Source organism: Homo sapiens, chromosome 19, assembly GCF_000001405.40.
Source record: "Homo sapiens chromosome 19, GRCh38.p14 Primary Assembly".
NCBI classification, from domain to species: Eukaryota; Metazoa; Chordata; class Mammalia; order Primates; family Hominidae; genus Homo; species Homo sapiens.
Window position 1 is genome coordinate 50,880,968 of NC_000019.10, and position 25,383 is coordinate 50,906,350.

Sequence of the window (25,383 nt, forward strand, 5' to 3'; positions counted from 1 at the left end):
CTGGCAGTGCAGATACTGAACACTAAAGACTCAGGAAGAGAGAAAAATAGGAAAGGAGGAAACACATGACTAAACACTGAAGGCAGGTTTTTTTTTTTTTTTTTTTTTTCGCAGAGTTTCACTCTTATCGCCCAGGCTGGAGTGCAATGGCTCAGTCTCGGCTCACTGCAACCCCTGCCTCCCAGTTCAAGTGATTCTCCTGCTTCAGCCTCCCCAGTAGCTGGGATTACAGGTGCACACCACCACACCTGGCTAATTTTGCATTTTTAATAGAGACGGGGCTTCTCCATGTTGGTCAGGCTGGTCACGAGCTCCTGACCTCAGGTGATCCGCCTGCCTTGGCCTCCCAAAGTGCTGGGATTGATTACAGGCGTGAGCCACCGCACCCAGCCTGAAGGTAAGTTTTATAGAATTTAAAATATCTGAACGACCTCAGATCAATAGAATCCATAGAGTGTGATTGAGTAGAAAGAAGGAAAGGCTATGAAACAAAAAAGAAAACTAGTATTGTCATTGACAAAAAATGTCATTGACAAAGCCCTGGAGAGAAAGGATGGCGGAAATATTGAAGGAAAAGAATGTAGAACTAGAATATAAATTCATTCCAACAGTTTGGCAGTGTGTATCAATAGCCTTTTTTAGACAATGCAACATTCTCATACATTGCTTAAGGGAGTATAAATTGGTATACTCATTTTAGAAAATGATTTAGAAGTATATGTTGCAGCTGAACATATGCATGACCTATCAGTATCAATCTTAGAAATATACCCCCTAGAAACCCTAGAAATACTTCATATTTTCATAAAAATCCTCGTACCAGAAAGTTCATAGCATCCTCAAACCAGAAACTGCCCAAAATGTTTATCTATAGGAGAATGGAGAAATAAATGGCATATTCATACCAATGAATAGTGTGTGTAATGAACAAGGATTATGTTTCATCCAAGACAGAGATGGGGCTTTAAAGAGACTGCCACAGGAACACAAAGAGAAAACCAGAGACGGAGAGACAGCAGGGGAAACAGAATCTGAGATAGACAATGACAAAATGGGAAGAGAAAAAACAAGGTAGCTGGAGACACACAGAGAGACACAGACAAACAGGAAGACAGTATCCCCTCGTGGTTAACATCACAGCTTCTGTTTATTAAGCACCTAATGTGTTACAACTGCACAGATCCCATTGAACCATGGGCCCTCTCCCTCACCTCCCCAAGGAGGCAGCATGCAGGAGCTCAACTAGGCAGAGAATCCAGGAGTCCTGAGGTGGTTGCATGAATGGACAGCATACACTAAATGAAGAAATGCTAGACCTGCCCTGGTGTACTGAGCATGAGGGATTTAAAGGCTTTGGGTAATGGGAACACGATCATACATTCATCATTGTGACCTGCACACCCACCCTGGGAGGCTCCAGAGGGCGCACCTTTCACTACAACAGGAGAAATGAATTTGTGAGGGGAGTACCAGCATCCTTGAAGAGCTATATGATCCCTCACCTCTGTAGGTCAGAAATTATGTGGGAATGGCTGACACTGAAGCAGGAAATCTCAATTCAGTGAGGATAACTGGATACCAAGATGGTTGAGGCCAAGTGACGCTAATTTCACCTAAACATCGGCATGGTTAGTACAATAGACAGCACAGTCAACACAGTAATCATGATAGTCTGACTTCGGAGAACTATGGTGCTGGCTAGTTGATCACAGTGTTCCTGGAAGAGAAATAGATTGGAAAAGACTAAATTATTTCTATGTAATCAGAAGACTTCTTGGGTCCAGTGAACAGAAGTATAATTTGAATCATAAAAGCAAAGAATCCTGGCCCATCGTTCAATTCATAAACTTGAGTCAGTTACCAGATGTTTTGGAGATTATTGGACACTGATTCTTAACTGACACTAATTACAAGAGACCCAAAACACCACTGTAGTCCAACAATCAGTGTGGCGCCTGGTGGAGGTCAGGAGTTGTGGCCAAGGCCCATCTCACAATGGGTCCCGTGGGTCTCTGAACCTACCCTTCCGGTATTTCACCAATTACAGAATAATGCATAACTGGGACAGGCATGCTGAGAAAGTGACAGAATTTCCACATGGGCTTCCAGACCTGTGGATGAGGGATGTTACACCAGACAAGTCCAGGTGGAAGTCGCTAGGACTTAGCCCCATCTAGGCTAGCCCCACCTAGCCCCATCTAGGAGGGATCAGGGGTTACACCAAGCTCCGGTCCTTCCTTTATCATGTGGCTGCACCCAGCTGAATCCCGTCGTATCTCCACACCTAGGGAAATCATAAACCAAAAGCAAGTCTGCGTTCCTGCAGGGATTACAGAGGTTGGTGACACTGTCAATGATTGAAGGACGCAGGAGTGGTGGTTCCCACTACATCCACATCCAGTTCACCTATTTGGCCCATGCTGAAAACAGACAGATCTTCGGGGATGATAGTGAGTTATCCTAAGTATAACCAGGCAGTGAATTTCATTACAGCTCTTCATGTGGCTTCATTGTTTGAGCAAATAACACATCTCCTGGTACCTCATATGCAGCTATTGACCTGGTTAATGTTTTGTTTCACCTCAATATCTTAATAAAGGCAACCAGCAGCAGTTCGTTCTCTACTGACAAGGCTTTATTATCCATGAATATCCTCTTGGTGTCTCAGTGATGATGCATCCACTGTCATTTCTGATCTTACTAACATGTATCTTCTGTTTTTTTTTTTGTCTTTGTTATCCTGGCTACAGAATTATCAATTTTATTGATCTTTTAAAAGAAACAGTTGTTTTAGTTGATTTTCTCTATAGGTTGTTTTTAATTTCGCCAATTTCTGCCATAATTTTTATTATTTATTTTCTTAGGTTTGCATTAGGCTTAAATTGCTCTCTGAGTCCATGGGAGGTTGGACTGGAAGCTGGGATTCAGAGTGGGAGTCTGGGAGTGGGTCCAGATAGAGGGTGTGGCTGGAGGTGAGTTCTTTGGGACTGGAGAAGATCTAGGGGCTAGGTGGGATGTGGCTAGCGTCTGATGGGCTGTGGGGCACCCAGGGGTCTGACCTGGTGTCTGAGGGAACAATAGATCATCGGAGATGTGAGATATGAAAACGAAGAGGAAGAACATGTTGGGCAGGAGAAAACACAAGGGTGGTAAAAGGAAGTTTTTTTACATAGCTGTTGGGATGAATTTGTATCTGGAGAGATTCAGGTGGGGCCAGGAAGGTTCAGCTTTGTCCTGGTTTACACTCCCCACAAAGGAGGGATCAGGGGTTACACCAAGCCCCGGTCCTTCCTTTATCATGTGGCTGCACCCAGCTGAATCCCGTCCTATCTCCATCTCCAGTTGTGCAGGTGCAACCTCAGTGCCCACGTGTTTGTCAAGAACTCTGAGGGGCTGACATTTTACCAACTTAGAGACAAAAAAGTTGGCCTGCCACACCTTCACGGGTATTGGCAGAACACACCAGAACCTGGCCAGAGACAAAGGACTTGATTACTTGACACAGCAGGCAGCGTGAGGTTCATGTTCATATGGGTTCATCTTGCCCGAGTCCTATAGGGTGACCAGAGCAGTCCAGGTGGATTTTGCACTCAAAGTGGTTTATGCCACTGCAGAGGGTCCTGAGTTTCAGAATCCTCAGTCTTATAAGTGGGCACTAGCAAACCTGCCCAGCATTTGCCTTTTGCTTTTTAAAGAGACAATGTCTCACTCTCTCCCAGGTTGGAAGGGAGTGGTGGGATCATAGTCCACTGCAGCCTCAAACTCCTAGACTCAAGCAGTTCTCCCACCTCAGCCTTATGAGTAGCTGGGACTACAGGCTTGCACCACCACACCTGGCTAATGTATGTAGGTATGTATATACTTATTTTGTAGAGAGGGAGTCTTGCATTGATGCCTAGGCTGGTCTTGAACTCCTGACTTCCACCGATCCTCCCACCTCAGCCTTGAATCTTTGTCTTTGGTGGTGATATTATTTTTATTACCCTGAACCACAAACAGAATTGCTGCACAGGGGCATATTATATTTATTGTCCTGGACAGTAAACTAGTCCATTCTGGGAAGACATTATTTTTATTATCCTGGACAGTCAGCAAACCTGCTCTGATGGAGATACCAACTTGAAAGACTGCTTGTTAGCCAGACATCCTTGATAGATATTATCGAGTAAGATAATGTTAGTACCTTTGCTCAAAATACATATAGAAATGTAAGAGACTCGTGGAAATTTGTCACTCACTACTCAGCTCCTGGCCTCCACCCTTCTCTGCTGGAGAGCCCCCCCTTTCTTCCCTTCCACCTCTCACTCACTGCACGTTCCTCCAGTTCTCCCAGTGTTCTGGGCCCTGTTTATGCCCATGGTAGATATAACAACAGTAATTCAATCGGGATGAGCAAACCCTGCCCTACTCTTCGGTGCATATGTGTGTGTGACTTTGACTTTGAAGGTCCTTTGACTTTGAAATGTCTCTGTTTGGTATCTGTGCATAGTGAAGCTCTGTGTGTGCATGTACATGGGTGGTGGGAGTGTGAGGCTCTGTCTGTCCACTACCTGCCCATATGTGTGCATTTGTCCTCAAATGCAAAACCTGATGAGTCACCTTCAATACCAAGTATCTCTGATGTGGGCACTGATCCAGACGTAGATTATTTCCTTTCCTGGCTGCCTGTGTCTCTAGCTACACCTTTGACCTTGAATGGCCAACCGTGTGTCTGGGTACTACCCTGGCATCTGCTCTAGTGGGTCCATATCCGAATGCCTGGCCTCTGGGACTGCGCCTGCAACTTTGAATCACCGCACACTGGCTTCTGCATGAATCGCAGTGTTGACCTTGACTGTCATATCCGGTCCTGTGATTATGTCTGAATTACTTCGGCCATATTTGTTTCTCAAATCTGAATATCCACAGATGCTATGTATCTCCCACCCATCTAACCTTTACAGCAACCTCCAATTTACAGACGAAATGGAGGCACAGTGAGATCAAAGAATTTTCTCAAAGTCTCAAAGCTGATATTTTTGAATGCAGGTGGTCAGACTCTGGATATAACCACCATACTCATGTCTGTGAATCAGTGTCTGGGACTCTGAGTGCATATCCCTGTCTCTTCCCTTTGTAATCTTATTAAAGACCCAACCTTGTACATCCAGACCCTGTGTGCAAGTGTGTACCCACGTGACCTTGCACACCCAGAGCCACACTGGAGGTTATGAATTTAGGTTTGAGCTCTTATGTCCAAATCTGTGTCTATGAATGTGTATGTGTGTGCTTACACCCATGCCTGTCCATATTTATATGCACATGTGATCACTTGGGCTCTTATTATATAAGCCACACGTACATGCATATGAATTTCTGCTTAAGGCACACAGTCTATATATGTATCCAAGCCTGGAAACCATCTTGTGCCTGTATGTATGTCCATGACCTTGTGTGGTCACATATGTGTCCTTCCCTGGCATGCTGAGTTTGGCTTAGATCTCCAGATTCTGAGGCCAAGAATGCTACCGTACAAATTGAATGGACACGTCTGTTTGAGGTCTCTGACATATGAAAGCAACCGTCTGTCTAAACCTGTATCCAGTGAACCTGTCTCCATCTCCAATCACAGAGGGAATTTTGCCCTCTGGTCCTTCATTTCCCTTCTGTCTGTCTCTCTCTGGCTCTCAGGAACCTATCACATGTAGGATAGGAGATGAAAGGAGAAGTTCTGGAAAAACAGGCTGCAGCTGTAAAACCTAAAGAGAGGAGAGTGCTTCAAAAATAACAGAGGCTGGGCACAGTGGCTCACTCCTGTAATCCCAGCATTCTGGGAGGCCAAGGCAGGCGGATCACGAGGTCAGGAGATCGAGACCATCCTGGCTAACATGGTGAAACCCGGTCTGTACTAAAAAAACAAAAAACAAAAAACAAAAAACGAAAAACATTAGCTGGGCGTGGTGGCATGCGCCTGTACTCCCAGCTACTCGGGAGGCTGAGGCAGGAGAATCGCTTGAACCTGGGAGGCAGAGGTTGTAGTGAGCCGAGATTGCACCACTGCACTCCAGCCTGGGCAACAGAGCAAGACTGTCTCAAAAACAAAACAAAACAAAACAAAAAAGCAAACAAAACTAACTCCCCCAAAAACCAAAGACTTCCGGATAAATTGTGGGAAAAGCATATGTGAATGGTTTTCACATATGTAGGTACTGTAGGGCACTGGGAAGGGTGGCCACATAGGAAGAAGTCTCTGTTCTCAGGGATCCTCTATTCCTTTCCGCAGAGGCTCAGGATGGCAATGGGGAGGTGTGGGGAGGGGTGAGAGAGACTCGAGAGAGAGAGAGAGATGGGCAGAGAGATGGGGACTGAGATACACAATGACAGAGATGGCCGAGAGAGAGAGATGGGCAGAGAGATGGGGGCTGAGATACACAATGACAGAGATGGCCAAGAGAGATGCAGAGAAAAACAGAGACGGGGAGACACAGAGACAAGAGACAGAGAAGAGAGAGGGAGATCAAGGCCGAAACACAGCCACACAGACACAGCAGAGCCATATACCAAGAGACACAGAGAGACTAGATGGACAGATATACGGTGAGAGACCAAGGCAGCCCCCAGGAAGGTGGTCCCCAATGCCTGTTCATGCAACCTGAACCAGAACCTTCCCTGTCTCTCTCCCTCTGTCCCCAGCCTCATCTGAGGGGAAATGCCCAACTGTTATTCCTGTGGGGCACAGACACCCCTCCCCAGACCCCAGGTCCCCACTCACCGGGTGATGCAGTGAGCAGTAGTGAGCACCCAGTGAGGATGCAGCAGGACGTCCTTGCACTGGAAGTTGCCGAAATGGTACAACCCTGCCAGGGTTGGGAAAGCTTCTCACACTCCCAGCCTCCCACAGTCTGGGACTGGATGGCAATCACAGCATCTGCAGAGGGAGTGCTGGGTCAGGGAGGGCAGGCTTGGCAGGAGGGCCCAGGGACTGGGCTAAGAGAGGGAGCTGGGCTGTGGGTTTGAAGGGGGCAGAGGACCAGGGCTGGGGATCCAGGGACACAGGAGGGCCTGAGATTCTGGACCATTCCTTGGGGTTTGGGTTGGTGGCTGTTCCTGGTGGGGAGACTTTGCTCTGAGAGCAGGGCAAACCCCAGGGATTAGGGTAGGAGACATGAGATTGCCTGGAGCAGGCATTGGGTTGGGAGCAAAGTATGTGGGGTGATTTGGGGTCTTGTCTAGGAGGCTGTGGTGGGGAGATGAAGGACAGAGTGCTTGTGGGTTTATGAGCTTCTTGAGTCTGGGATGTCCTGCTCCTATGGACAGGGGACATTTTCCCAAGTTAGCAGTTTTTTCAGCCAAATTACCTAATATGATGCTACACCCAGATCAGGGTGGCAGGAGAAGAGTCAGGAATGGGGACCTAGGGACAGACACCTGATCCAGTCCCCAAGGCTTCTCCTCTTCCTGGTCAGCACTCTCTGAAGACAGTGGGTCTCTTCTCTACTGGTTCCATGTCTCTGCCATTAGCTCAGATTCCATCTTCTTGTCCTTGTCTTTCCGTCTCCATCTCTGTCTGTCTCTTTGCATGTGTATATTTGTGTGTGTGTATCTTATTTTTTTTCTGTTTCTCTAAAAATCCTGTCTGAGAGAAACTTTACTAGTTGTTCTAGAGGAAGGAAGTCTTAAGGATGAGCTTTCTGAATTAGTTCTGGCATTTCTAGTGTTTGGAATTGGTTCTGTAATGCGAATAAATTAAAGGCACCACAACTCTATTTTCAGTAATACAAACAGAAATAAAAGTCCGTGGTGTAATGTGGCAATAGAGATATGCAAAATAACACCACTGGATATTCCGAATCAAATAAAGGAGAAATGACCAGGGTGATCATGTATATGACACTTTAGAATATTTTTTAAAGTAACAAGCATAATGAAATTGGATGATTGCTTCTAGTTGTGTTGGCAAAAGTGGAAAAAGAAAAGAATGAGCACAGGACTTTAAATTTCCAGATCTCAGACTGAAGAAATAATCTAAAGTTGCTATGTCTATGATGTTGAAAGAAACCTTTATCTCCTGTAGCCACAGAGCTGAGATTTCTGAAAATCAAACCTAGAATCTTATTGTGTGAGTGGCTGAATTACAGTGCTAATTAAATCCTCAGCATGCATGCTGTCTGCCATTAAAGTGAAGGCATAATTGAAAGGGTAGGGATCCCAAAAGTTGGAATGAAGACATGTGGGAAGACTCTGATTATGGTCAGGAGACTGGGGAAAGGGTCTAGTTAGAGGATGTGGCCTGAGGCTTTAAAAATGAAGATCCAGGGGACAGATAGAATGTGGCCAGTGTCTGGCAGGATGTGGGGCACTTGGCATCTATCCTGGTGCCTGAGGAAGCAGTGAACTCTCCCAAGAGGGAGAACCCAAGAGGAAGAGCATGTTGGGGAGGAGGAGAGACAAATGGCGAAAGGAAATTTATTATGCCAAAGGTGGGATGAATTTGTATCTGGAAGGATCCAGCTAGAGCCAAGAAGGTTCAGCTTCAGCTTGGCTTACACTATCCCCAGAAAAGTTCAACTCAGCCTTGTTCCCTCTTCTGTTATTTTGCTGTGCCCAGCTGGGGCCCCTCCTAACTCCAAGGGCCAAGAAAGTTCAACTTCAGCTTGGCTTACACTGCCCTCAAAAAAGTTCAACCTAGCCTTGGTCCCTCTTCTGTCATGTGGCTGTGCCCAGCTGGGGCCCCTCCTACCTCCCACCCTTCCATCTCCAGCTGGACAGGTGCAGCCTTAGTGCCCAACTGTTTGTCAAAAACTCTGAAGGGGCTGATATTTTGCCAACTGGCAAACAAATAAGTTAGCCTGCCACAGTTTTATGGATACTGGCAGAACACACTGGATTCTGGATCAAAGGCAAAGGACTTTATTACTCACAGCACAGAAGACAGCATGAGCTTTGTGTTCACATCAGTTCGCCTTGACCCTAAGTCCCACAGGAATGATCAGAGAAGTTTAGGAGGATCCTGTGACACGATGCTTTGACCCACAGCTGAGAAACCTGAGCTTAGGAATCCTGAATCGTATGAAGGGACTATTAATATTTGTCCGAGAGGGAGACACATTCTTCGTTATCCCGACCACAAACAGACCTGCTCTGGAGGAACATACTATATTTATTGTACTGAACACTAAACAAATCTGCTTTAAGGGACACATTATTACACTGGTCGGTAAGCAAAGCTGTTTTGTTGAAAATACCATTTGCAAGATGGCTTGCTAGCCAAACATCCTTGATAGTCCAAAGCAATTTTTTTTTCACTTTGAAGCCATGTAGAAACATGAGAGGCCCATGGAGAATTTTCTCTCAGAATCATAATTTAAATTCTCTAACCTTCCCTGCAAAACAAACTTATACTTTCTTCCTTATACCCCTTGTCTGCCACATCTGTTACCCTAGCCTCACCAGTGTGCCAGGCCCAGTTCCCAAAGATGGCAGGAAAAATATGGGGATCTGATCTGGATGTGCCCTATTGTTGCTGTCTGTTTATGTGTGGATTTGACTTTGAGGGGACATATCCACGTTTCCCAGTGTAGAGGCTCAGGGTCTTCTGACTGTGAAAAGTCCTTGTTTGGTACTTGTGCGTAGTGCAGTTCTGTGTGCGTGTGTGTGTGTTGTGTGTGTGTGTATGTGCATGCACATGTGTATGTGGTGGGTGTGCAAGGCCCTGCTGTCCACTACCTGCCCACACATGTGAGCCATGTCCCCATATGGGAAAACTGATGAGTAACCTTCAACACCAAGTGTCTGACTTGGGGGGTGATCTAGAGACAGATAAATCTTTCCTGTCCCAGCTGCCTGTGTCTCCAGAATATGTCTTTCCCCATAAATGCCCAACTCTGTGTCTGGGAGTAGCCAGGAATCTAACCTATGAAGCTGTATTTGAATGTCTGGCCCTTGGGGTTGGTGTCTGCAACTCTGAATCACCACTAAGTGGTTTTATGGATGAATCACAGTATTAGCTTTGACTAACTTTATCTGGGTCTGCACATATGTCTGATTTTGGCTATATTTGTTTTCAAAATCTGAACGTGCACACGTATGTACCATAACTAAGTCATGTGTCCTTGATTAAAATAACTGATATTTATTACTATGCATTACAGTTACTGTGTGCCAGGCATTATCATGCACACCCACACACAGGCATACACACAAAGACACATTTTTCTATTTAAGTCTTAAGGAAACCCCCATGAACAAATGAGGAAATGGAAAGACATTGAGGTCAAATAATTTTCTCAAAGATTCAGAAATAATATGTTTGATCCCAGGTGGTCATACTTTTGGATACAACCACCATACTATAGACCCATGTCTGTGAATTGCTTTTGGAGGGGCTACTCAGGATATGTCCCCTCAAAGTCAAACCCAACACTGCATATCAGTGTCTCTCTCCTGTGTACCTTTACTAAGGCCCCCACCTTGTACGTTCAGACCTTGTGTGCAAGTGTGTGCAACTGGAACACTGGGTATCCAGACCTACAGTGGAGTGTAGATTTTGGTCCAAGCTTCTATGTCCAAAGCTCTGTGTGTGTGTGTGTGTGCGCGTGTGTGCGCGTGTGTATGCACACATACACCTATGTCTTTTTTTTTTGAGACAGAGTTTTGCTCTTGTTGCCCAGGCTGAAGTGCAATGGCATGATCTTGGCTCAAGTCAACCTCTGCCTCCCTGGTTCAAGCTATTCTCCTGTGTCAGCCTCCCGAGTAGCTGGGATTACAGGCATGTGCCACCATGCCTGGCTAATTTTGTATTTTTAGTAGAGAAGGGGTTTCTCCATGTTGGTCAGGCTGGTCTTGAACTCCCAATCTGAGGTCATCCACCCACGTTGGCCTCCCAAAGTACTGGCATTACAGGCGTGAGCCACTGTGCCTAGCCACACCCATGTCTTAACTGTCCACACTTACATACAAATATCAATGTCCATATAGTGACCCTCGAAGCTGAGATCTATTTATATGTTACGTGAAGGTAAGCTGTAAATGCTGTACCTACCAATACCTAAGTTTGAAAGTCTGGTTGTGCATATATGTAGGTCCACAATCTAGTATGGCCACATCTGTGCCCTTGTATGACCCTGAGTTTGGCCGAGATACCCAAACTCTGGGACCAAATTTGTGTGTCATACATACTGAGTGTCACATCCATTTAATATCTGTGACAGATGAATGAGCCTGAATGACTGGCTCCAAGTGACCACTTGTCTGAACTCACTGTATCCAGTGACCTTATCTTCATCCCCAACCACAGAGAACTTCTTGCCCTCTGGTCTTTTCCCCTTTCTCTCTCTTTTGGGAACCTATAACACATGAGATGGGTGGTGGGAACAAAAAAGGATACAGTTCCAGGGAAAAGAGGCAAAAGTTTTTTAAAGCTAGAGAGAAAACAGTATTTTAAAAACATATCAGAGGCTCCTGGAGAAACTGAGGGGAAGGCATAAGTGAAGAATATGTAGGTAGATAAGGGCACAGTCAGGGAATAGGAGGTGAGAAGGACCCTGTCCTCATGGATCCTCTACTCCCATCCCAGAGGCCTAGGACGGTGACTAGGTCCTGGGAACTGAGGAGTGTATGCTCTGCTCCCAATCTTGGCAAGTGATTTTCTTTGAATGTGGACATTTTAACTGTGGTCCTTCATGCACTGTCCCCCGCTGTGAGCTCTCTGAGGCCCACTACCAAACCTGGTAAGAAGGCAGGGGTCAGGGTCCTGAAAAACGTGGCTGGGAGTAGGAACCCATGGGTTCTGTACCTGGAGTTGGAGAAGGCTGAAAGCCGGGAGTCCAAGGTCTTGGAGAAGGAAAATGTTGGGATTCTGGACTCCTGTATTTTAATGGGTTGGGGAGAGAGTCCTTGACTCCTCTGAGGACAAAAGTACTGGAGCTTGGGGACTACAGCCCAATGGGTGTGTGCCCACACATTGGAACTCTTAGCTATCTGAGAGGCAGGAGTAGGGGCCATTGGTACCAGGGCCTCAGGAGGTGGTAAGTGGAATTTCAGATTATCACAGGGCTTGGGGATCCCAGATTGCTAACATTTGGGTCTTTCTGTCTACTCCACACTCAGCTTGTGGGTAACCACTGGCCTGCTAGCTCCCTATAGTTGCTGGGCCAGCAGGAGCCCGACGAGCAGGAACTGCGCAAGCGCGCTGGTTCTAAACAGCTGAAGGGCGTTTGGCGCATCTTCTGACATCATCAGCACTATGAGGATCCCGGCGCACCACTATGGCGTCACTTCGGCGCAACTAGCCCACCATCACCCGTGCGCCTCTCCAGTCACATGTATCACATGGCACTGCCCACGTCTGCCCCCTTGTGGGTGTGTCCAACATGGTGGCTGACTTAGGCTTTGTGTCCATAGGGAGGAGCCTAGGACCACAGGGAGGCTTGGGTCACAAGATGCTTGAGAAAAGCCAGATGTGTCCAGTCTATGAAACCTGAAATACATGGCTTTTGGGAAGAGGGGCAGGGTCCTGAATGTATGGGTCCTTCTCAAGTTCACGGTCTTCCCTGGTGGGTCTCCTTGATAATTGTATTGTGCCAACATCAGCATAATTTCAGACACATCTGGTAACATGGACTACCCAGGGCACCTGATGGACACCTTAGTGTGTGCATGTTTGGAGGGCGGAGGCGCAAATGATCCTAAAATCTTGATCTTGGTTACTAATGTTGTTGGCTGTTCCCCTAAACTGCACATCCAGGGCAAATGTTGATTTGTTGCATCCTAGACCCTGCCCTCAGCTACACCCCTGTCTCCACCACAATCCATCCCAACACCATCCTCATCCCTAACTTTGTCACCATCTCCTGCCCTTGAGAGCTGATGAAAAGGAACGCCCAGAAAATGGAACTTACGGCCAGGCGCGGTGGCTCACGCCTGTAATTCCAGAACTTTGGGAGGCCAAGGCGGGTGGATCACCTGAGGTCAGGAGTTCAAGACCAGCCTGGCCAACATAGTGAAACCCCGTATCTACTAAAAATACAAAAATTAGCTGGGCATGGTGGTGCGCGCCTGTACTCCCAGCTTCCTGGGGAGGCTGAGGCTGGAGAATCACTTGAACCCAGGAGGCGGAGGTTGCAGTGAGCTGAGATCACGTCACTGCACTCCAGCCTGGGCAACAGAGGGAGACTCTGTCAAAAAAAAAAAAAAAAAAAAAAAAAAAAAAAAAAAAAAAGGAAAGAAAACAGGGGATGTGTGCAGAAAACCAGGAGATATAGAGTCAAGAAGCATCAGAAAAAAGGTCAAAACAAAAGGTCAAAAAGGGCCCCCGCCAACAACAACAAAAAAGAAAATGGAAGTCACCTGCCAACATTACCTAGTTACCCAGAGGCTGAGCTGGGATTCACACCCAGGGCTGACTAGGTCTTTCTCCTGCATCTCCTCCCCTTTTCTTGGAACACCTACGTCTCTCAGGTTATCCTTTCCTTCCGAAGCTTCCACAGTTGGCTCAAACCCAGGGTTCTGAGATAACCTAGTCTCCCTGACTCCATGGAGGCTCTGCTTCTCATTCAGACCTAGCAAAATCATCTAAAGCTCACTCCACCAATATTGAGCTCCTAGCCAGACCTTACACCAAGGTAAGCCCTGGCCCATGCTCAAGCCCCACCCCTCCTAAAGTCTTATCCCTGCTCAAGCCCTGCCCCTAGCCCAAGCCCTTTCCTCTGTGCAAGCTTCTGACCAAGGCGCTGCCCTCTGCTCAAGCCCCACCCCTTATCAGGCTCCACCCATCCCAAAGCCGTAATCCTGCTCAACCCCACCCCTGCTCAACTCCACCTGTGCCCCAGGCCCTTTGCACAAAAATTAGCTGGGCATGATGGTGCACACCTGTAATCACAGCTACTCTGGTGGCTGAGGCAGGAGAATCGCTTGAACCCAGGATGTGAAAGTTGCAGTGAACCGAGAGCATCATCTCTGACCAAGGCTCTGCCCTCTTCTTAAGCCCCATCATGCATAAGGCCCCATCCCTGCTAGCCTGCCACCCCTGGCCTGGGACTCTCCTTCACTCAAACTCTCCTCCAGCCAGCGCTTGCCTCTTAGCTGGCGCTCTGCCCCAGACCCACCCAGCACTCACTTCTGGAGGCAGTGTGCAGCCGACAGCACCCACTGTGGATGCTCTAAGATGCCCCAGCGTCTTAAAGTTTTCCACTGACGGTGCTGGCTGCCTGCCAGGGCTGCAAGTGCAGACTGTATTCCTGTTGCCACCAATGAGGACTTTGCTGGCACTGGAGAAAGTGCTTGGGAATGGAGTCTGGGATCCTTCAGGGGGAATCACAGCTCCTGGGGATGGAATCAGGACACAAAGTGGAGGGGTTCAGAGTCGAGGGTCAGGGTTAGGATTAGGAAGGTGTGGGTTGTATTGAGGGGTGTGATGGTTAATATCAAGCATCAACTTGATTGGATTGAAGGATGGAAAGTACTGTTCCCTGGGGGTGTCTGTGAGGGTGTTGCCAAAGGAGATTAAGATTTTACTTAGTGGACTGGGAAAGGCAGACCCACCCTCAATCTGGGTGGGCACCATCTAATCAGCTGCCAGCGTGGCCAGAATAAAAGCAGGCAGAAGAACGTGGAAAGACTAGACTGGTTTAGCCTCCCAACTTACACGTTTTCCCCTGCTGGATGCTTCCTGACCTCGACATTGGAATCCAAGTTCTTCAGCTTTGGGACTTGGACTGGCATCTTTGCTCCTCAGCTTGCCGACAGCCTATTGTGAGACCTCACCTTGTGATCATGTGAGTCGCTTATCCTTAATAAACTCCCCTTTTTATATACATCAATCCTATGAGTTCTGCCCCTCTAGAGAATCCTGACTAATACAGGGGGGAAAACATGGGCAGGGTATCCAGGTCTGCTTTTTGGGCTGGGGCATGATGAGGCTAAAGGACATGTCAGTTCTTTTTTTTTTTTTTTTTTTTTTTTGGAGACAGAGTCTTGCTCTGTCACCCAGGCTGGAGTGCAGTGGCGTGATCTCGGCTCACTGCAAGCTCCGCCTCCCGGGTTCACGCCATTCTCCTGCCTCAGCCTCCTGAGTAGCTGGGACTACAGGCGCCTGCCACCATGCCTGATGCCTGGCTAAGTTTTTGTATTTTTAATAGAGATGGGATTTCACCATGTTAGCCAGGATGGTCTCCATCTCCTGACCTTATGATCCACCCGCCTTGGCCTCCCAAAGTGCTGGGATTACAGGCTTGAGCCACCGTGCCCAGCCAGGACATGTCCGTTCTAAACTCCAGGCCCCTGGTCTGTCCCTCCGATACCTCCTCTTACACCATCCTCAGACACACAGTTTCTTTTCTTTTCTTTTCTTTTCTTTTCTTTTCTTTGAGATGGAGTCTCACTCTGTCGCCCAGGCTGGAGTGTGGTGGCGCAGTCCTGGCTCACTGCAACCTCTACCTCCTGGGTTCAAGCGATTCTCCTGCTTCAGCCTCCTGAGTAGCTGGGACTACAGGTGCCTGCCATCGCACCCAGCTAATTTTTTGTATTTTTAGTAGAGACAGGGCTTCACTGTGTTAGCCAGGATTGTCTCGCTCTCCTGACCTCATGATCCACCCACCTCAGCCTCCCTAAGTGCTGGGATTACAGGGTCTCCCAGCTAATAAATGGCAGGGCAGGGCTTTGAACCCAGGCAGGGCAACTCCACAGCCTATTTCCTTAACCACTGTCCCATAAGGCCTCCCAAGGCCCCAGTGAGCAGGGCATGACTAAACATGCAGCTACATGTCAGAACCCTGGAGTCAGGCTCAGGGACACAGGACCAGGTGACAGGCACAGGACACAACCTCCCATGTGACATCACGCTTGGCTACACACACTCTTGCAAAGCTGCAGGGTGACTCATACAATGTGGTCACACCATGATACACACAGCACATGACACTGAACCAGATAGGTACAACCACAAAGATCCAGTCACATGGTAAATTACAGTGATATCATAATCCAGAAACAGCCTCGGATGAATGGAAATGCCTATTCACCCCAATACACAAAAATCACACAAGTACAGCCACACAAGCACCCCCATACACACGTCATACGGGCATGTAAACTTAGAAGCAACCCTGTCTGCTTGAAGACGGTGACACTTTGGGACATACACATCACACACGCAAAGCCATGGACCAAATTGTGTCCCCCCCTCTCCAGACTTATATGTCAAAGTGCTAAGCCCCAAGATAGTGGCATTTGGGGCTGGGACCCTTGGGAGGTGAGGAGGGTTAGCTGAGGTTGTGAGGGTGGGGCCTTCATGATGAAATTAAGTGCCCTAATATGAAGAGGAAAAGAGGGAGAGAGAATTGAAACCTGCTAAACCTCAGACTTGGACTTTCCGGTCTCCAGAATGGTGAGAAATAAATTTCTGTTGTGGAAGCCACCTGTCTGTGTTATGTTGTTATGGGAGCCAGAGAAGACTAAGACACACACACTTACACCACTCTCCCACCACACACACACAACACACACACCTGTGACATTGTGGACGACATATCCCAGGAGCCTGGTGCAGGGGGTTTCTGCTGTGGTCATCAGGTTGGCACCTGGTGGGGAGGGGATTCTGGGATTCTTTAGCCGTCTCCCTTCTCCACCCTCCCACAGAATCTCTGGGCAGCAACAGCCATAAGGGATCCTCTCCACCTTAGGCGGTGAGACCCTGAAACCATAACCTAGGGCAGAATTTCTCAACCTGGCCGCTACTGACACTTCTGATTGAATCATTCTTTGTTGTGGGCACTGCCCTGTGTGCTGTAGGATATTACGCAGCATCCCTGCCCTCTGCCCACTAGATGCCAGTAGCACCCTCCTTGCCAAGTCATAGCAACCAAAAATGTCCCACTGTCCAGTGGTCTCTGGGAGAAGTCAGTGTTAGCAACATCTGGAATGAGAGGGAGTGATGGGGAGCTGGAGAGATGGAAACTCAGAGTGCAAGAAAGGCAAAGAAAGTCAGTGACAGAAACAGAGAAAGTTAGATAGGGATAGAGACACAGAGACACTGATACAGAGACACCAAGATGGAGGCTGGGGGAGACAGAGTCAGAAAGCTAGGATGGGGAAGATGGAAACACAGGCACAAAGAGTTCTCAGGGTCAGTGAGTCTGAAAGGTATGGAGACGGAAATACAGGTGTTGACAGCAGACACAGCCTACAGCCTCTGTGCCCAGGCATTGTTCTAAGCACTTGACATGCAGTAATTCACTTTCATAGGAACCTTACCTGGAAGATTTGATTATTAGCCCCATTTCACAGAGTTAAGTATCAGAGAGGTTAAGTAACTTGCCGAAGGTCACACAGCTATCAGCAGTTTATTCCATTTTTACTGCTGAATAGGATTCCATTGTATGGATGCACCATGGTTTATCTGTCCACTCGCCAGTTTATGGAACGTCTGTCACTGCTTTAACACTGCAAACTTCCCTCTCCCCAATCTTCCTTATTATTTAACTTATTATATATGATTTGTACTAATTTACAATATTATGTTAACACATATAAATGTATATCTAATTTGTTATTTATTTTATTGGATGTATTTTCTATTGTTTGTATCTTTCAGCTACAACAAGAACAAGGATCTTTGCCAGTTTTGTTCACTGGTTTATCCAAAGCCCCTAAAACCCTGCCTAGCACATAGTAGGTACCTGATAAGTACTTACTGAATAAATGAGAATGAATGGATGGCCACAAACTCTTTCTATCACTGTATTTCTCAGTTGAGCTTCTCGGTCAGGGTACTGCCTCTCTGGCTGTTTCTGTCTTTGAGACAGACAACTAACACACACACACTCTCTCTCTCTGTTTATATCTGTCTCTCTGTGGCTGACACTCTCTCCATCACTTTTTCCTGTCTCTTTCAGTAGATCTCTCACTGGAGAGATCTCTTAGTCTCTAGAGGGTGGTTGGGGTCTTGTCAGGGGTCTGGGGTTGGGAATCTAGAGCAGAGGAATGGAGTTTGGAGGCTGGGTCTGAGGTCTGGAGTCAACCTCCAGAATCTCCAGTTTGTGCTGTGGAATCTAGAGCTTGGAATCTGAATTCTGGGATTTTGGGGTTTGGAGTGAAGCATCTGGAATCTAGACGAGACATCAGCAAACTATTTCTGTAGAAGTCCAGAAAGTAATTATGTTAGGCTTTGTGGGCCAGACAGTCTGTGCTGTAATTGCTCATTTCTGCTGTCCCAGCATAAAAGCAGTCATAGACAACACAAGAAGGAATTAATGTATGTTCCAACAAAATGTTATTTACAAAAACACACAGCAGCTGGATTTGGCCTGCAGGGGTGATTTGTTTACTTCTGATTAAACTGGAACCTGGAAAATGGAATCCAGAAATGGAAGTCTTGGTTCTAGAGTCCAAAGACTGGTCTGATATCTAGAGCTTGGACCACAAGTCTGATCTCCAGGAAGATGAAGCTCAAAGTCTAGAATCTGAATTTGGTGACTGAGGTCCTCATTTTGGAGTTAAGATTTTTTTATGTAGATCACAAGAGACTGTCACTTCATTGCAGTACAGTTTAGCCCTGAAATTGGGGTTTAGCCAAGGAGGGTTCTTGGCTTCACTTAGGAAAGGATTCAAGGGTGCTGGTAGTGTGAGACAGCAATTTTCGTTGAATGGTGCTGCTCCTTGCGAAGCAGGGCTAACTCATAGGCAATGTGCCCAGAGTCAGCCACCTATGGGCTCTTGGCAACTATATTTATACTCATGTAAATCCACTTTCAATTACATGCAAATTAAGTAATGGGTCAATGTAAATTGAGGGGTCATTTATTTAGAACTTTCTAGGAAAAGAGCAGTAACTTCCAGGTCATTGGCATGGAAAGGAGCAGTAACTTCCGGGTCACTGCCATGGAAAGGGGAGGTAACTTCTGGGTCATTGCCATGGAAAGGGGAAGTAACTTTCAGGTCATTGCCATGACAGTTTATAAATGCCATGACACTGGTGAGGGTGTTCTATACCAATGAGCAATGAGAGCAGATAGGGATCACTTTTGTCTTCATCTGGTCATTCCTGCTGGTTTTTTTTTTTTTTTTTTTTTTTTTTTTTTTTTTAAGATGGAGTCTTGCTCTGTCGCCCAGGCTGGAGTGCAGTGGCACAATCTCGGCTCACTGCGAGCTCCACCTCCCGGGTTTACACCATTCTCCTGCCTCAGCCTCCCGAGTAGCTGGGACTACAGGCGCCTGCCACCACGCCTGGCTAATTTTTTGTTTTTTAGTAGAGATGGAGTTTCACCGTGTTAGCTAGGATGGTCTCGATCTCCTGACCTCGTGATCTACCTGCCTCGGCTTCCCAAAGTGCTGGGATTACAGGCGTGAGCCACCACACCCAGCCTTTTTTTTTGTTTTTTTGTTTTTTTTGAATTTTATCCTGCCTGGACTTGTTTTGGTCAGCAGGGTTGTGACCAGAAAACAAGTCCTGCCAGTCTCCTACCTGACCTTTATAAAACATTGTCTGGATAATCATGAAAAGTCGTTTGGTCTAGTTGTCAGTATAACACAGAGAGAGAGGTCTTCCCTTCCTACCACTGGGGACTCCTGCCTGCTCCCTGTGACTCAACATGTTTCTACCCAACTAACTGAGGTCTGGCATCGTCCTATGGAGTTGACCTGAACTGTCTGTCTTTTCTTCAGAGCAAGGAGTGCCGCAGGGGCCCAGGTGTCACCATTTTGTTATTATAGGCAACCCCTCCAGGCTGCTTGTAGAACCATCTAAGGCAAAATTACTGATCAAGTTCATGTCTATCCAGGTAAACCTGAGATGAGTAAAATGACCTGTCCATCCATTCACTAAGGTCTTATGAACTGTCCACTCATCCCCTGAGGTCCTATGAATGTTTTTTTCTTTTAGAGACAGGGTCTTGCTCTGTCACCCAGGCTGGTGTGAGCATAGCTCACTGGAGCCAAGAACTCCTAGGCTCAAGCAGTTCTCCTGCCTCAGCCTCCTGAGTAGCTGAGGCTATAGGTGCACACCACCACACCCAGCTAATTTAAAAAAAATTGTAGACATGGAGTCTTGCTATATTGCCCAGGCTGGTCTCAAACTCCTGGCCTCAAGCAATCCTCTTGCCTCAGCCTCCAAAGTGCTGCAATGCCTGGTGCCTGTGAATTTTTTTTTTTTTTTGAGACAAAGTCTTACTCTGTTGCCCAGGCTGGAGTGCAGTGGTGCCATCTTGGCTCACTGCAACCTCCACTTCCTGGGTTCAAGTGATTCTCCTGCCTCAGCCTCTCTAGTAGCTGGGATTACAGGCACGTACCACCAGGTCTGGCTAATTTTTGTTTTTTTAATAGAGACAGGGTTTCGCCATGTTGGCCAGACTGGTCTTGAACTCCTGACCTCAGGTGAACCGCCTGCCTCGGCCTCCCAAAGTGGGCTAGGTTTAGATTTCTATATGTAGAAATTGTATAGATAGGTTAATAGTGTTATGGAAATTTATGTCCTCATTCTTTTTTATTGTGGTAAAGTACACAAAATATAAAATTTACAATTAGTGGCATTTAGGACACTCACGATGTACAACCCTACCAGTATTAATCCAGAACATTTTTATTACCCCAAAAGGAAGCCTTGTACACATTAGCAATCACTCCCCACTCCCCCCGAGCCCCAGCTCCTGGCAATTGCTAATCTGCTTTCTGTCTCTATGGATTTGCCTATTCTGTATTTCATATAAATAGAAGCATAATTCAGCCACAAGAGATGGAATGGAATAATTCAGCCTTTTGTGGCTGAATTATTTCACTTAGCATCATGTTTTCAAAGTTCATCCATGTTTAGTATTTCATTCCTTTTTGTGACTGAATATTCATTGTATGAATATGCCAGAAATTACTTATCCAATTTACTAGTTTTACCTGTTGGATTGATTGTTTCCAGTTAGATGCTGTTATAAAAAAAAAAGCTTCCATGAACATATATATAGGCGCACATATATAGAGTCTAAATCATTATATATATCCTATATATTGCAGATATGCATAAGTTTCTTTAGTGCGTATACTCAGGAGTGAAATTTCTGGGCATTAGATATGCATATCTTGGCCAGGTGTGGTGGTTCATGCCTGTAATCCTAGCACTTTGGGAGGCCGAGGCAAGCAGATCACCTGAGGTCAGGAGTTCAAGGCCAGCCTGGCCAACATGGTGAAACCCTGTCTCTATTAAAAATACAAAAAATTAGCCAGGTGTGGTGGCAGATGCCTGTAATCCCAGCTACTCAGGAGGCTGAGGTATGAGAATCGCTTGAACCAGGGAGGCAGAGGTTGCAGTGAGCCGAGATCGTGCAACTGCAATCCAGCCTGGGCAACAAGAGCGAAATTCCGTTTCAAAAAAAAAAAAAAAAAAAAGATATGCATATCTTTACCATTTCTACTTGAGGTCATGGAAATATCCTCCTAAATTATGTCCTAAAAGTTACATTGTCTTGCCTTAATCAGGTCTAATCTACTTGGAACTGATTTCCGTGTGTGGTGTAAGGTAGGAGTTCAATGCCATTTTTTTTCCATACTGATACCCAATTTTCCCAGCAATACCTACTGAAAAGACATTTTCTCCACTGCTTTGCAGTGTGATTTCTGTTTCACATAAAGTGCCTATAAATGCATAGGTCTGCTTCTGGCTCTGGGTTCTATTCTATTGGTATGTTTGTCTATGTCTGTGCTAATATCACACTTCTCGTGATAAGTTACAAGTAGAAAAGGCTACCCTCCTTGCTTTTCTTTGGAAGTGTGCTGGCTGACCTTTGCCCTTGCCCTTTCTTCTTCATAAATTTTAGAAACAGTCTGTCAGGCTCCAGAAAAATCCTGCTGAGATTTTGGTTTGGAATACATTGAATTTTAAAATAAATTTGGAGATATTTCTCCTCTTTACAACATTGAGTTTTCCCCTCCGTGCACATGGAACAATATATCTCTCCATTTATTTTGGTCTTTCTTTTCTTTCTCCCCTCCCCTCCCCTCCCCTCCCCTCCCCTCCCTTCCCCTCCCCTACCCTCCCTTCCCCTCCCCTTCCCTTCTCTTCTTTCGAGATGGAGTCTTGCTCTGTTGCCCAGGCTGGAGTGCAGTGGTGCGATCTCAGCTCACTACAATTGTCGCCTCCCGGGTTCAAGGGATTCTCCTGTCTCAGCCTCCTGAGCAGCTGGGATTACAGGCGTGAACTGCTGCGCCTGGCCTTTGGTCTTCTTTAATATCTCTCTATGGTATTGGATATCTTTGAAGACTTATTTTTAGGGTCTTCATGGATTTTACATTTTTTGATTTTTTAAAATTTTGTGGCAGTTACATAGAAATGCAGTTGATTTTTTATTCATTTGCTTCCAACAATCTTGCTAAATGATATGATTATTTCTATAATTATTTATTGATTATTTGGGACTTTCTGCATTCACAATCATATCAACTAAAATGTTTTATTATTATTTTTTTGAGACAGAGTCTTGCTCTGTTGCCCAGGCTGGAGTGCAATGGCGTGATCTTGGCTCACTGCAACCTCCGCCTCCCAGGTTCATGTGATTCTCCTGCCTCAGCCTCCAGAGTAGCTGGGATTACAGGCACATGCCACCATGCCCAGCTAATTTTTGTATTTTTAGTAGAGACGGGGTTTCACCATGTTGGTCAGGCTGGTCTCAAACTCCTGACCTCAGGTGATCTGCCCACCTCGGCCTACCAAAGTGCTGGGATTACAGGTGTGAGCCACCACGCCCGGCCAGCTCTTTTTCTTCTATAATTATGTGCTTATGGCTGCATGTTTCTCTCCGAGCACTGTAGTAGGCATACGCAATACATGTGTATACATCTGGTATTTTCCTTAGCATTTAATTCCAAATATTTTCTAATTTCCATTATATCTCTTGTTTGAACTCTGGGTTCTTTAGAGGTGTTCTTTTAAAATCAAAACGCACAGTCCTAGATGAGATAACTCAGAAACAGCCAGTCAAATACCACATGTTCTGTCTTATAAATGGGAGCTAAACAGTGGGTACAGACAGGCATAGAGTGAAATAATAGACACTGGAGACTCCGAAAGGTGGAAGCATGAGAGGGGGTGAGGCGAAGGAGGAAAATGACCTGTTGGGCACAGTGCACACTACTTGGGTGATGGGTACAGTAAAAAGCCCAGAGTTCACCACCACACAACATATCCCTGTAAGAAACCTGCACTTGCGGGCGGGGCGCGGTGGCTCACGCCTGTAATCCCAGCACTTTGGGAGGCTGAGGTGGGAGGATCGCCTGAGGTCAGGAGATCGAGACCATCCTGGCTAACACGGTGAAACCCCGTCTCTACCAAAAATACAAAAAATTAGCCGGGCGAGGTGGCGGGCGCCTGTAGTCCCAGCTACTCGCGAGGCTGAGGCAGGAGAATGGCGTAAACCCGGGGGGCGGAGCCTGCAGTGAGCGGAGATCGTGCCACTGCACTCCAGCCTGGGCGACAGAGCCAGAGCGCGACTCCGCCTCAAAAACAAAAAACAAAAAAGTGCACTTGCACTCCCTAAGACCATTTTGAAAACACATGAGGATTTTCTGGTTATCATGATTTCTAGCTTAATTACATTGTGGTCAGACAACATACTCTATATATTCCAACTTGGAAATTTGTTGAGACTTGCTTCGTACCTCAGTAACAGGTTCACTTTTGTAAATGCTATGTGTGGTTTTTAAATTGAGGTAAAGTTTTTATTGAGGTATGCACAGTGTGGCGTTAGAGTTCAATGAGTTTTGGCAAATGCATACTCATGTAATCCTCACTCCTGTAAAGTTATGGAAAATTCCCATCACCCGAGAACGTTCTTTTACCCTTATTCCCAGTCTGTTTTTTTTTTTTTTACTTTTATTTTTGAGATGGAGTCTCACTCTTTTGCCCAGACTGCTGTGCAGTGGTGTGATCTCGGCTCACTGCAGCCTCTGCCTCCTGGGTTCAAGCAAGTCTCCCACCTCAGCCTCCAGAGTAGCTGGAATTACAGGCCCCCACCAACACACCCATCTAATTTTTTTTTTTTTTTTTGAGATGGAGTCTTGCTCTGTCACCCTGGCTCGAGTGCAGTGGCGCGATCTTGGCTCACTGCAACCTCCACCTCCTGGGTTCAAGTGATTCTCCTGATTCAGCCTCCTGAGTAGCTGGGATTACAGGCACCTGCCACTATGCCTGGCTAATTTTGGTATTTTTAGTAGAGACGGGGTTTCACCATGTTGGCCAGGCTGGTCTTGAACTCCTGCCCACCTTGTCCTCCCAAAGTGCTGGGATTACAGGTGAGCCACCGCACCTGACCCCAATCTGTTTCTATACCTATTCCCCTCTCCCATCCCAGCAACCAGGCCACATTGAATAATTTTGCCTGTTCTAGAATTTCATATAAATATAATCATATAGTGTATCATATTTTGTGTCTGGCTTCTTTCACTCAGAATAATGATTTTGAGATGCATGTATGTTGTTGCTTATATCAATAGTTTATTTCTTTCTGGTGCAGAGTAGCAATCCATTGTATGGATATATCACAGTTCGCTTATCCACTCACTTACTGATAGACATTTGCTGCATTTCCAATTTCATTATTATGCATGAAGCTACTATAAACATTCTTAGGGAAGTGTTTTCTATGGCTATTACCTAAATACCTAGGAGTAGAATTGCTAGCCGTCATGTGGATGTATGCCTGTCTTTCTAAGAATCTGCCAAGCTGTTTTCCAAAATGGTTGTAGCATTTTACCCCCTACCCCCAGCAATGTAGGAGAGTTACAGCTGCTGTAGATATAACCAAGACTTGATGCTGTTATTCTTTTCAATTTTAGCCATTCTGGTAGCTGTATGTCTTTTGAAATGATTCTATATTTTTCAGATACTGGGTGCAACATTCCATATATGACCATTAAATAGAGTATGTTAATCATACTGTTCAAATTATCTATATACTTATTCAGTCTCCCATCTCCTTGCCCCTCAGTTGCCCCATTGTGCCCCTCAAACTTCCCTCTTTCTACTCCTTGGTCTCTGTTGCTGTCACTCACAGTAGCCCTCGCCACAATTCTCCCCACTAGACTCTAGCTGCAGCAGCCAACTTCTGAGACACATGCAAATTAAAAATTCTTGAAATGCAGTTAAGAAGACAAAAATGAATATAGATCAACTAAAGCTGAATAGTTAAACTAAGCAAGAAAATCTCTACGGTTACCATTTGCTGACCTGACTTTTCAGAAACTGGACAACATCCATGGCACTGGTTTCTCTTAACTATCCAGGGAATGGCCCCTCCCTCTGAAACTCTGTGGCCCTCCTGGTCAAAGCTCGCATTTCCCAGATAGGGAAATGCGACCCATGGAGGGAAAGCCATTTGCTGGAATCTCTTGAATGGAAGGGGAAGCAAGGAGGACACTACAAACAGAACC

The 25,383-nt window shown here is 46.2% G+C and overlaps 1 pseudogene across 1 annotated transcript, besides 4 other annotated features; it reads right to left on the reverse strand.

Annotated features, from left to right (window-relative positions):
* Nucleotides 1,129–15,431, reverse strand: KLKP1 (kallikrein pseudogene 1; annotated as a pseudogene). Its single transcript, NR_002948.1, has 5 exons — nt 15,360–15,431; nt 14,624–14,725; nt 14,096–14,301; nt 6,752–6,907; nt 1,129–1,717 (listed from the first exon to the last, which is right to left on the reverse strand). The product of NR_002948.1 is annotated as a kallikrein pseudogene 1 (transcript).
* Nucleotides 10,104–10,153: an enhancer, noted in NCBI's record as "active region_15004". NCBI's record gives its function as "activates an Ori minimal core promoter by ATAC-STARR-seq in GM12878 lymphoblastoid cells {active_cell/tissue: GM12878}" and the evidence as "EXISTENCE:reporter gene assay evidence [ECO:0000049][PMID:35858748]".
* Nucleotides 10,224–10,333: an enhancer, noted in NCBI's record as "active region_15005". NCBI's record gives its function as "activates an Ori minimal core promoter by ATAC-STARR-seq in GM12878 lymphoblastoid cells {active_cell/tissue: GM12878}" and the evidence as "EXISTENCE:reporter gene assay evidence [ECO:0000049][PMID:35858748]".
* Nucleotides 15,561–15,940: an enhancer, noted in NCBI's record as "active region_15006". NCBI's record gives its function as "activates an Ori minimal core promoter by ATAC-STARR-seq in GM12878 lymphoblastoid cells {active_cell/tissue: GM12878}" and the evidence as "EXISTENCE:reporter gene assay evidence [ECO:0000049][PMID:35858748]".
* Nucleotides 15,971–16,100: an enhancer, noted in NCBI's record as "active region_15007". NCBI's record gives its function as "activates an Ori minimal core promoter by ATAC-STARR-seq in GM12878 lymphoblastoid cells {active_cell/tissue: GM12878}" and the evidence as "EXISTENCE:reporter gene assay evidence [ECO:0000049][PMID:35858748]".